This window comes from Homo sapiens, chromosome 1, assembly GCF_000001405.40.
Source record: "Homo sapiens chromosome 1, GRCh38.p14 Primary Assembly".
Taxonomy (NCBI): Eukaryota; Metazoa; Chordata; class Mammalia; order Primates; family Hominidae; genus Homo; species Homo sapiens.
In genome coordinates this window covers 91,420,381-91,434,207 of record NC_000001.11, presented here as the reverse complement: position 1 = coordinate 91,434,207, position 13,827 = coordinate 91,420,381, and positions in this window count along the sequence as shown.

Genomic DNA, 13,827 nt, shown 5'->3' with positions numbered 1-13,827 from the left:
TCATACTCAGTGCTCAGTTTCATCTTCAAAATGGTCCTCGGAGAAAAAAGCCAAAGACATCAGTACTAGCTCAGAGTGGTGGAAGTTGAATACTTTTTTTTTTTTTTTGACGGAGCTTTGCTCTTGTTGCCCAGGCTGGAGTGCAATGGCATGGTCTTGGCTCACCGCAACCTCCGCCTCCCAGGTTCAAGTGATTCTCCTCCCTCAGCCTCCTGAGTAGCTGGGATTATAGGCATGAGCCACCAGGCCTGGCTAATTTTGTATTTTTAGTAGAGACGGGGTTTCTCCATGTTGGTCAGGCTGGTCTCGAACTCCCAGACTCAGGTGATCTGCCTGCCTTGGACTCCCAAAGTGCTGGGATTACAGGTGTGAGCCACCGCACCTGGCCTCAAATTTTATTCTTAAAAATAAAGCGGGGTTAGAGGTCAGAATTCTTCAATAGTAAAAGATTCTTTGAAAGAGAGACTTCAATTGAATATGGCCCATCTAACTATCTTATTTATGTTTGATGATGTAAGGGCGAAAAAGTGTCATCCCAGGAGAAACTTTTGAAAGCTGTCATAATATTACTGTAAACATGTTCATATATACATACATCAGTATCCAAAATGTAAGTAGGGTATGTTTAATAGAATCAGATCCTGTCTTCTAGGAATTTAAATGTTAAAGTTGCTATTATTGACGCAAGCTAACAAGTAAACATAAAAAAGAGTGTGCTATACACAAAAGGATTAAATAGCAAAATATTTGTAGTTTACCTAAGTTCAGTGACCAACTTTGAGTTTTTGTGATGTGGGAATATGCTATAATTTTCTGACTCCCACTGTGGAGTTAAGTCTTCTACAGCACCCCTTTGCAGAGAATTAGCTAGCATTTTAAAGATTGTGATGTCCTGAAAGCGTTGAAAAAATAGCCTCAGCTATAGGCTTTCTAAGTATTTTACCCAATGTTGCATTAGATAAGAAACATCTTTTTTTATTCCTTCCTGAGAACACTCTTGAAAGAAACCTATAAAAGTTGAACAAGGCATACTCGTTGGAAATTGCTCTTGATCTTAGGAAGTAGTGTCTATTATTTGTAAAAATATGACCAACTTGTGAACATATCTGTAATATGAAAATAAATACAAGGCAAATGTTTCTATTTATAAGGAGAAAAACACTCTCATAATCACATTGATTCAGTTTATAAAACTTCTTGCCATCAATCTAATTAAATAAGCTACATAACCATAATCTAATTTTGTTGAAATGAAAGACAGTGTTCTAAAGGAATTGAGGCCAGGTGCGGTGGCTCATGTCTGTAAGCCCAGCATTTTGGGAGGCTGAGGCTGGCGAATCACTTGACGTCAGGAGTTCGAGACCAGCCTGGCCAACTTGGTGAAACCCCATCTCTGCTAAAAATACAAAATAATTAACCAGGCATGGTGGCGCTCACCTGTAATCCCAGCTACTCAGAAGGCTGAGGTGGGAGGATCACTTGAACTGGGGAGGTGGAGGTTACAGTGAGCCGAGATCACGCCACTGCACTCCAAACTACTCAGTAGGCTGAGGCGGGAGAATCTCTTGAGCCCAGGAGTTTGGGGTCAGCCTGGGCAACATAGTGAGACCCAGTCTCTTAAAAAAAGAAAGAAAAAAAAGAAAGTTGAAACTTTACAAATAATATGGCTTTACTTTAGATGTCTCTCAATAGAGTCTATAAAATATAATTTATGATAAAAGAGACTTAATAAGATCATAGGTTTTAAACAGAAATGCGCTTGAAAAGATTAGAAGTAATAAGTACACAAGTACACTGTGGATGACATTAGTTATATTTCAGTTTTTTTTTTTTTTGAGACAGAGTTTTGCTCTTGTTGCTCAGGCTAGAGTGCAGTGGCTCGATCGCGCTCACTGCAACCTCCACCTCTCAGGTTCAAGCGATTCTCCTGCCTCAGCCTCCTGAGTAGCTGAGATTACAGGTGCCCACCACCATGCCTGGCTAATTTTTGTATTTTTAGTAGAGACAGGGTTTCACCATGTTGGCCAGGCTGGTCTTGAACTCCTGACCTCAAGTGATCCTCCTGCCTTGGCCTCCCAGTGTTGGGATTACAGGCGTGAGTCACCGCGCTCAACCATATTTCAGATTTACTAGTAATGGCTTTGATAATGACTTTCTTGTATGTAAATTTTAAGTAATGTTATTTTTTCTGTTTCTGTGAATTATAGTAAAGAATTGATCGATTAAACATTTATTTACTTTTCTTTGTGCCAGGGATTGTACTATAAATATGACACATGCCTTCAAAAAATAGATATGTAAACAAATGGTAACAGTACAACAATATGAGTGCTACAAGCTAGCATAGAATTATGCACACGCTGCTGTGGAAACACAGAGGAAGGAAAGCCTCTCTAATTCTGGGAGGTAGAGTGGAGGTTGGAATACTGAGGCATTGTCAGGGAAGGCTTCCCAGAGCAGGTGAGGAACAGTGAAGAGAACAGAATATTGAAGAGAAATTATTTGCCAATCAGGTAACTGGGGGGAGAGAAAGGCATTTAACCAGAGAGTTCAGTAACTCTAAAAGCTTTGGACTCTAGCTCTCTTGGTAAATATGACAGCAACAAGTGTTTAGTATGGCTGGGGCAGACAGACCTACACTGAGAGGTTGGTAATTGATTTCACTTTGTTTCTCCTTCTCCACATCAACATTTATCAAGTCCCCTTGTTTCTATCTCAGAAATATCTCTGGAATATGGCTACTCTCTCTAATTCCATCTCCACTTCACCCACTCACTCCAAGCCACTATCATCTCTAATGGGGACCATTGCAATAGCTTCCTTAATAGGTGTTTCTGCTGTCACTTTTACTCCCACTAAGAATAATCATTTTAAAAAATCAGAAGCCAGGCACGGTGGCTCACACCTGTAATCCCAGCACTTTGAGAGGCCGAGGCAGGCAGATCATCTGAGATCAGGAGTTTGAGACCAGCCTGGCCAACATGGTGAAACCCCGTCTATACTATAAATACAAAAATCAGCCAGGTGTGGTGGTGCACACCTGTAATTCCAAGTACTTGGGAGGCTCAGGCGGGAGAATTGCTTGAGCCCAGAAGGCAGAGGTTGCAGTGAGCCGGGATCATGCCACTGCCCTCCAGCCTGGATGACAGAGCGAGACTCGGTCTAAAAAAAAAAAAAAAAAAAAAAAAAGTCAGATACAGTTAGTCCTTATTACGGCTCTGTGTAACACGGCTTCAGCCTGTCTGCTGCTCATGTCCTTCATAGCATGTATCTTAACCATATTAATTAATTAACTTTTTCATTTTTAGTTTTACTGACTACTAGACTGTGAACTTTAAGGAAAGCCATGCTTGTTTATATTCCCAGTGTTTAGCACAGAAGAGAAACAAACAAATAAGAAGAGAAGGAAGGGAAAGGGAAAGATAAAAAGAGATATAATGATTAAATGTAATGTGGTATTTTAAATGAGATTCAAGGAAAGAAGACAGATTAAAAACTAGGAAATCTAGATAAAGTATGGACTTTAGTTAATAATAATGTGTCAATATTGGTTTTTTAGCTGTGATAAATGTACCATACTAATGCAAAATGTTAATAATAAGGGAAAACTGCATTCAAAATATAAGGAATCCTCTATAATACCATTGCAACTTTTTTGTAAATGTAGAACTATTATAAAATTACCAGTTTATTTAAAAGAAGGAGGAAAGAAAGAAGAAGTAGGCAGTATACAGCTGAGGAAGTGGGCAGGGGTCAGTTAAGAAGTTTCTCATGTCATGCTAATAAGTTTGACTTTTTCTGAAGTGAGGGAATGAAATGATTAGATTTGCATTTTAGAAAATGTAACTTTAATGCAAAGATTGGCGTACTTTTCTCTTAAAGGACCAGGTAGTCAATATTTTAGAATTATGTGCCGTATTAGTTCCCAAGCCTGATGTAATAAAATGACCATGACTTTAGTGGCTTAAAACAACCAAAATTTATTTTCCCACAGTTCTGGAGACCGAGATACCAAAATCAAGGTGTTGGTAAGGCTGCACTGCCTCCAGAAGCTATAAGGGAAGACAAGGTTCCTTGTGTCTTCCAGGCGTTCCTTGGCTTCTTTGGCTTGTGGCCACATTACTCCAATCTCTGCCTTCATCTTTACATTGCCTTCTACTCCGTATGTGTCTTCTGTGTGTTTCTTTTAAGGACATTTGTTGTTAAATTTAGGGCCTACCTGGGTAATCCAGGATGAGCTCATCTCAAGATTCTAATTTAATTATATCTGAAAAGACTTTTTTCCAAATAAGTTAACATTCTGAGGTCCCAGAAACTAGGAGGTGAACATATCTTTTTGGGGCCATCACTCAACCCACTTCACAGGCCATGTAGTTACTGAGTTGAAACTACTCAGTACAGTAGCACCAAAGCAGCCATAGACAATACATAAATGAAAGAGTGTGACTATGTTCCAAAAAATTTTATGGCCTGGCTTTCATCCAAAAGCTATAGTTTGTTGATTCCTAATGGCAGTATAGAGGAACAATTGGAAGACAGCAAATTAAGGCAGTTAAACAAGTTAGGAGGGAATTATAATGGTAGCCATTAAGGATGAGGAAGATTTGAATAAGACAATGGCAACAGAGGAGAGGGAAAGGAATTGAGAGTTAGTGAATAGAATCAACAGAAGTGGGTGATAGATTGCAGGGGACGGATAATTAAAGTTCATTAGAGAGGTGGGAATTATGAGTCACATAGTAGATCAATACTTTCAGCTTTTCAAAGGAACAACTTGAGACTTTCTACTTCCATTGCTTGAGAAATATTACTTTTATCAAGACAAGTTTGTGTAACCCACACAGATGAGTACTGAAAAATAGAAAGGCTCAAAAAATGTTAAGATATTTTATTGTATAGCCAGAGACACAGTGTAAAGGATATTTTGAGGTCAGAGAAGACGATAGACGATAATTAGCCAGTTGGTTTATTTCTTCTTTTTTTTTTTTTTTTTTTTTTTTTTGAGATGGAGTTTTGCTCTGTTGCCCAGGCTGGAGTGCAGTGGTGCAATGTCAGCTCACTGCAACCTCCACCTCCCAGACTCAGGTGATTCTCCTGCCTCAGCCTCCCAAGTAACTGGAATGACAGGCATGCACCACCACACCCAGCTAATTTTGTATTTTTAGTAGAGATAGGGTTTCACCATGTTGTCCAGGCTGGTCTTAAACTCCTAACCTCAGGTGATCTGCCAGCCTCAGCCTCCCAAAGTGCTGGGATTACAGACATGAGCCATCACATGTGCCTGGTTTATTTCTTAGAAGGAACAAGACAGATCTGGCAAGATGGTCGAATAGGAACAGCTCCAGTCTACAGCTCCCAGTGAGACCAATGCAGAAAGTGGGTGATTTCTGCATTTCCAACTGAGGTACCCGGTTCATCTCACTAGGACTGGTTAGACGGTGGGTGCAGCCCACAGAGGGTGAGCAGAAGCAGGGTGGGGCGTCACCTCACTCGAGAAGTGCAAGGAGCAGGGAGCCTCCCTCCACCAGCCAAGGGAAGCTGTGAGGGACTATGCTATCAGTCCCAGATACTATGCTTTTCCCGCAGTTTTGCAACCTGCAGACCAGGAGATTCCCTAGTGTGCCTACATCACCAGGGCCCTGGGCAGCTGTTTGGGCAGGCACTGAGCTAGCTGCAGTTTTTTTTTTTCCATACCCCAGTGGTGCCGGGAACCCCAGTGAGACAGAACCGTTCACTCCCCTGGAAAGGAGGCTGAAGCCAGGGAGCCAAGTGGTCTCGCTCAGCAGGTCCCACTCCCACAGAGCCCAGCAAGCTAAGAACCACCGGCTTGAAATTCTTGCTGCCAGCACAGTAGTCTGAAGCTGACCTGAGACAATTGAACTTGGTGGGGGGCGGGGCATCCGCCATTACTGAGGCTTGAGTAAGCGGTTTTCCCCTCACAGTGTTAAGGAAGCTGCTGGGAAGTTTGGGGGAACTGACTGCAGCACGGCAAAGTGGCTGTGTCCAGACTGCCTCTCTAGATTCCTCCTCACTGGGCAGGGCATCTCTGAAAGAAAGGCAGCAGCTCTAGTCAGGGGCTTATAGATAAAATTCCCATCTCCCTGGGACAGAGCACCTGGCGGCGGAGGGGTGGGGGCGGTGGTGGGGTGGGGAGTGAGGGGCGGGGGCGGCTGCGGGCACAGCTTCAGCAGACTTAAACGTCCCTGACTGGTGGCTCCGAAGAGAGCAGCGGATCTCCCAGCACCACGCTTGAGCTCTGCTAAGGGACAGACTGCCTCCTCAAGTGGGTTCCTGACGGTCATGCCTCCTGACTGGTTGATACCTCCCAGCAGGGGTCGGCAGACACCTCATACGGGAGAGCTCCAGCTGGCATCAGGCAGGTGCCCTTCTGGGATGAAGCTTCCAGAGGAAGGAATAGGCAGAAATCTTTGCTGTTCTGCAGCCTCCACTGGTGATACCCAGGCAACAGGTTCTGGAGTGGACCTCCAGCAAACTCCAGCAGACCTGCAGCAGAAGGGCCTGACTGTTAGAAGGAAAACTAAAAAACAGAAAGCAATAACATCAACATCAACATCAACAAAAAGGACATCAAAACCCCATCGAAAGGCCATCAACATCAAAGATGAAAGATAGATAAATCCACGAAGATGAAGAAAAACTAGTGCGAAAATACTGAAAATTCCAAAAACCAGAACGCCTCTTTTCCTCCAAATGATTGCAACTCCTCTCCAGCAAGGGCACAAAACTGGATGGAGAATGAGTTTGACAAATTGACAGGAGTAGGCTTCAGAAGGTGGGTAATAACAAACTCCTCTGAGCTAAAGGCACATGTTCTAACCCAATGCATGGAAGCTAAGAACCTTGATAAAAGTCTGCAGGAATTGCTAACTAGAATAACCAGTTTAGAGAAGAACATAAATGACCTGATGGAGCTGAAAAACACAGCATGAGAACTTCATGAAGCATACAGAAGTATCAATAGCCGAATCAATCAAGTGGAAGAAAGGATATCAGAGATTAGAGATCAACTTAATGAAATAAAGCATGAAGACAAGATTAGAGAAGAATGAATAGAAAAGAATGAACAAAGCCTCCAAGAAATGTGGGACTATGTGAAAAGACCAAACCGACGATTGAAAGTGACAGGGAGAATGGAATGAAGTTGGAAAACACACTTCAGGTTATTATCCAGGAGAACTTCTCCAACCTAGCAAGATAGGCCAACATTCAAATTCAGGAAATACAGAGAACACCACTAAAATACTCCTTGAGAAGAGCAACCCCAAGACACATAATCATCAGATTCTTCAAGGTTGAAATGAAGGAAAAAATGTTAAGGGCAACCAGAGAGAAAGGTCAGGTTACCTACAAAGGGAAGCCCATCAGACTAACAGTGGATCTCTTTGCAGAAACCCTGAAAGCCAGAAGAGAGGGGGGGTCAATATTCAACATTCTTAAAGAAAAGAATTTTCAACCCAGAATTTCATATCCAGCCAAACTAAGCTCCATAAGCAACAAATTGACAGAAGTAGGTGAAGGAGAAATAAAATCCTTTACAGACAAGCAAATGCTGAGGGATTTTGTCACTACCAGGCCTGCCTTACAAGAGCTCCTGAAGGAAGCACTAAATATGGAAAGGAAAAACTGGTACCAGCCACTGCAAAAACATACCAAAATATAAAGGCCAATAACACTGTGAAGAAACTGCATCAACTAATGTGCAAAATAACCAGCTAGCATCATGATGGCAGGATCAAATTCACACATAACAATATTAACCTTAAGTGTAAATGGTCTAAATGCCCCAGTTAAAAGACACAGACTGGCAAATTGGATAGAGTCAGGACCCATTGGTATGCTGTATTCAGGAGACCCATTTCATGTGTAAAGACACACATAGGCTCAAAATAAAGGGATGGAGGAATATTTACCAAGCAAATGGAAAGCAAAAAAAAGCAGGGGTTGCAATTCTAGTCTCTGATAAAACAGACTTTAAACCAACAAAGATCAAAAAAGACAAAGAAGGGCATTACATAATGGCAAAGGGATCAATGCAACAAGAAGAGCTAACTATCCTAAATATATATGCACCCAATACAGGAGCACCCAGATTCATGAAGCAAGTTCTTAGAGACCTACAAAGAGACTTAGACTCCCACACAATAATAGTGGGAGACTTTAACACCCCACTGTCAATATTAGATCAACAAGACAGAAAATTAACAAGGATATTCAGGACTTGAAATCAACTCTGGACCAAGTGGACCTAATTGACATAATCCATCACATAAACATAACTCTCAACCCCAAATCAACAGAATATACATTATTCTCAGCACCACATAGCACTTATTCTAAAATAGGCCACATAATTGGAAGTAAAAGACTCCTCAGCAAATGCAAAAGAACAGAAATCATAACAAACAGTCTCATAGACAAACAGTTCAAAGAACAGAAATCATAACGAACAGTCTCTTAGACAACAGTGCAATCAAATTAGAACTCAGGATTAAGAAACTCACTCAAAACTGCACTACATGGAAACTGAACAACCTGCTCCTGAATGACTACTGGGTAAATAATGAAATGAAGGCAGAAGTAAAGATGTTCTTTGAAACCAATGAGAACAAAGATGCAATGTACCAGAATCTCTGGGACACAGCTAACGCAGTGTTAAGAGGGAAATTTATAGCACTAAACACCCACATCAGAAAGCAAGAAAGATCTAAAATTGACACCCTAACATCACAATTAAAAGAACGAGAGAAGCAAGAGCAAACACATTCAAAAGCTAGCAGAAGGCAAGAAATAACTAAGAGCAGAACTCAAGGAGATAGAGACACAAAAAACCCTTCAAAAAAATCAATGAATCCAGGAGCTGGTTTTTTGAAAAGATTAACAAAGTAGATAGATTGCTAGCCAGACTCATAAAGAAGAAAAGAGAGAAGAATCAAATAGATGCAATAAAAAATGATAAAGGGGATATCACCACTGATCCCACAGAAATACAAACTACCATCAGAGAATACTATAAACACCTCTATGCAAATAAACTAGAAAATCTAGAAGAAATAGATAAATTCCTGGACATGTACACCCTCCCAAGGCTAAACCAGGAAGAAGTTGAATCCCTGAATAGACCAATAACAAGTTCTGAAATTGAGGCAGTAATTAATAACCTACCAACCAAAAAAAAGCCCAGCACCAGATGGATTTACAGCCGAATTCTACCAGAGGTACAAAGAGGAGCTGGTGCCATTCCTCCTGAAACTATTCCAAACAATAGAAAAAGAGGGACTCCTCCCTAACCCATTTTATGAGGCCAGCATCATCCTGATACCAATACCTGGCAGAGACACACACACACAAAAAGAAAATTTCAGCCCAATATCCCTGATGAACATCAATGCGAAAATCCTCAATAAAATACTGGCAAACTGAATACAGCAGTACATCAAAAAGCTTATCCACCACAATCAAGTTGGCTTCATCCCTGGGATGCAAGGCTGGTTCAACATATGCAAATCAATAAACGTAATCCATCACATAAACAGAACCAACGACAAAAACCGCATGATTATCTCAATAGATGCAGAAAAAGTTTTCAACAAAATTCAACATCTCTTCACGCTAAAAACACTCAGTAAACTAGGTATTGATGGGACATATCTCAAAATAATAAGAGCTATTTATGACAAACCCACAGCCAATATTATACTGAATGGGCAAAAGCTGGAAGCATTCCCTTTGAAAACTGGTACAAGACAAGGATGCCCTCTCTCACAACTCCAATTCAACATAGTATTGGAAATTCTGGCCAGGGAAATCAGGCAAGAGAAAGAAATAAAGGTATTCAAATAGGAAGAGAGGAAGTCAAATTGTCTCTGTTTGCAGATGAGATGATTGTATATTTAGAAAACCCCATCATTTCAGCCCCAAAACCCCTTAAGCTGATAAACAACTTCAGCAAAGTCTCAGGATGCAAAATCAATGTGCAAAAATCACAAGCATTCCTATACACCAATAATAGACAAACAGAGAGCCAAATCATCAGTGAACTCCCATTCACAATTGCTACAAAGAAAATAAAATACCTAGTAATACAACTTACAAGGGATGTGAAGGACCTCTTCAAGGAGAACTATAAACCACTGCTCAAGGAAATAAGAGAGGACACAAACAAGTGGAAAAACATTCCATGCTCATGGATAGGAAGAATCAATATCGTGAAAATGGCCATACTGCCCAAAGTAATTTATAGATTCAATGCTCTTCCAATCAAGCTACCATTGGCTTTCTTCACAGAATCAAAAAAACTACTTTAAATTTCATATGGAGCCAAAAAAGAGCCTGTATAGCCAAGACAATCCTGAGCAAAAAGAACAAAGCTGGAGGCATCAAGCTACCTGACTTCAAACTATACTACAAGGCTACAGTGACCAAAATAGCATGGTACTGTTACCAAAAGAGATATATGGACCAATAGAACAGAACAGAGGCCACAGAAATAACACCACACATCTAAAACCATGTGATCTTTGACAAACCTGACAAAAACAAGCAATGGGGAATGGATTCCCTATTTAATAAATGGTGCTGGGAAAACTGGCTAGCCATATGCAGAAGACTGAAACTGGACTCCTTCCTTACACCTTATACAAAAATTAACTCAAGATGGATTAAAGACTTACATGTAAAACCTAAAGCCATAAAAACCCTAGAAGAAAACCTAGGTAATACCATTCAGAACATAAACATGGGCAAAGACTTCGTGACTAAAACACCAAAAGCAATGGCAACAAAAGCCAGAATTGACAAATGGGATCTAATTAAACTAAAGAGTTTCTGCACGGCAAAAGAAACTATCACCAGAGTGAACAGGCAACCTAAGGAATGGGAGAAAATTTTTGCAATCTACCCATCTGATAAAGGGCTAATATCCAGGATCTACAAAGAACTTAAACAAATTTATGAGAAAAAAACAAACAACCCCATCAAAAAGTGGGCAAAGAATATGAAGAGAAACTTCTCAAAAGAAGACATTTATGCAAACCACAAACATGAAAAAAAGCTCATCATCACTGATCACTGGGGAAATGCAAATCAAAACCACAATTAGATACCATCTCAGGCAAGTTGGAATGGTGATTGTTAAAAGTCAGGAAACAACAGATGCTGGAGAAAATGTGGAGAAATAGGAATGCTTTTACACTGTTGGTGGGCATGTAAATTAGTTCAACCATTGTGGAAAATAATGGTGATTCCTCAAGGATCTTGAACCAGAAATATCATTTGACCCAGCAATCCCATTACTGGGTATATACCCAGAGGATTATAAATCGTTCTATAAAGACACATGCACACGTATGTTTATTGCAGCACTATTCACAATAGCAAAGACTTGGAACCAACCCAAATACCCATCAATGTTAGACTGGGTAAAGAAAATGTAGCACATATACACCATGGAATACTATGCAGCCATAAAAAAGAATGAATTCGTGTTCTTTGCAGGGACATGGATGAAGCTGGAAACCATCATTCTCAGCAAACCAACACAGGAATAGAAAACCAAGCACCACATATTCTCATTCATAAGTGGGAGTTGAACAATGAGAACGCATAGACACAGGGAGTGGAATATCACACACCAGGACCTGTCATAGGGTGGGGAGCCATGGGAGGGAGAGCATTAGGACAAATACCTAATGCATGTGGGGCTTAAAACCTAGATGATGGGTTGATGGGTGCAGCAAACCAACATAGTACATATATACCTATGTAAAAAACCTGCACGTTCTGCACATGTATCCCAGAACTTGAAGTATAATAAATAAACTTTTTTAAAAAGAAGGAACAAGACAGTGCTAGGAAGAATGTCTTTTCTTATTAAAGGTGTCAGTGTGTAAATAGTTCCCCCCATCATGCGAAGAGTAAGATGGCTGAGGTTATTATTTATAATTACTATGTATATATCCACTTACAGTTTATAAAGTTGTGGCATAATACATCATGTCATTTGATCCTCACATCTCTGAGGTAAGGAGGACAGATATTATTATTATACCTGAAGTGAAGAGAAGTTAAGTAACATTTTCAAGGTCACACAGATAGCAAACAATTGTGTGCAGATGCATTCTGCTTTCCTTATTTCAAATCTTGGGCTATTTCCTTTGCACTGTCTATGAAGTTGGATCAGAGAACTGTGACAATGTGTGGCCCATAAAGCTGGGTTGGTCAGCATGACCAGGAAGATAAAGATGAGATTAATGAGCTTCTTAACTAGGAAGCTGGGGTGGCCTTCCACCTGTCCTTAAAGGGCAGGTGGCCAAAATAAAAAATGCAGCCTTGAGAGCAAAAGCAGAACACAGCATGGGCCAAAATGATGAGAGAAACTGGACCCAGAGCAGGGTTACAAAGATTATGGAGTGCAGAGATAAAGCAGCAATGTCATGAATGTAACCCAAAAGAGTGGGTGCCAAACTCACCAGTGCAGCAGTTACTTGCAGAGCTTGTTAGCAATGTAGCTTCTCCAGCTGTAATTTAGGACTTCGGCTTAGAACCGAGTCTGCTGATTCAGCCAATCTGGGCTGGGGGTGGGGGGACATGAAAAACCCCCTTTCCCACCCTAGAAAATCTGATAGAAAACATCCATTAAATAAGCCAGAGAATAAAAGCAGCAGAAAACATCTAGAGAGATTTTTGATGTTAGGGTAGCAAAATGTTGGCAATATAATAACATAATTTTAAGAAAAAGCAGAGGGGGTCTAGGCCTCTTTTAGAAAATAATTTAATAATATTTGTTGACACCTGCCTTGTACACAGTAATAGGCTAGATACTAGGAGTGCAGAAGTGAGTTAGAAATTAAGACAGACTTGGTCCTCATTCTCAGGGCGCTAACACTGTAGATGGAAGACTGATACTAAATAATTATATAGTTACTGTATAATGTTTTATTATGCAACAGTATGAATGTAAGAATGGAGGATGTCAAAATAGGGACAGGCAACAGGGGAGCCTGACCCTGTCTGGGAGATCAGTCAAGGATCATCCCCTGAGGAAACAGCATATGATTTCAGATCTGAAGAATTAGTAGGACTGGTCAAGAAAAGGGGGTAAGGAGTGCAAAATAGGTACCTCAGTAGAATATTAATTTGCTGCTTCAAAAAATATTTACTGAGAACCCACAATGTGCCGAGTATTCTTCAGTTCTGGAATACAGCATTAAATAAGATGAATAAACATTGAGCTTTACATCCCAGTTTATGAAACAAGACAAAATTTAAAATTTAATAAACAGGAAATCAGCTGATAATAACAATATTGTAAGATTTCAGTTCTCCCCAAATCAATCTGTTGACTCAATGCAATGCCAATAAAAATCCCAGCGGGACTTTTTGTGGAATTTGACAAACCAATTCTCAAATTTATATGGAAACTCATATAAAAAGGAAGTCTTAAAGAATAAGGTTAGAAAACCTCTATTACTGAATACCAAGACTTATTTTAAAGTGGTAATTTAGACAATGTGGTATTGGCATAACGATAGAAAAACAGACAATGGAACACTCTAGAGCTCAAAAACAAACTCACCTTTGGTATATGACAAAGGTGCCCCTGTAGTTTTGTGAGGGAAAAGGTGGTCTTTTCAATAAATAGTGCCAGATTAATTGAATATTCATATGGAAAATTAATACACAAAATCAATACTTGTGCAAATGAAAGCAGTAACACTTCTAGAAGATAACATATAGCTTTATGACCTGGGATAGGCCAAGATTTCTTAAACCAGGAGCTAATCAAAAAGGAAAATATTGATAAATTGA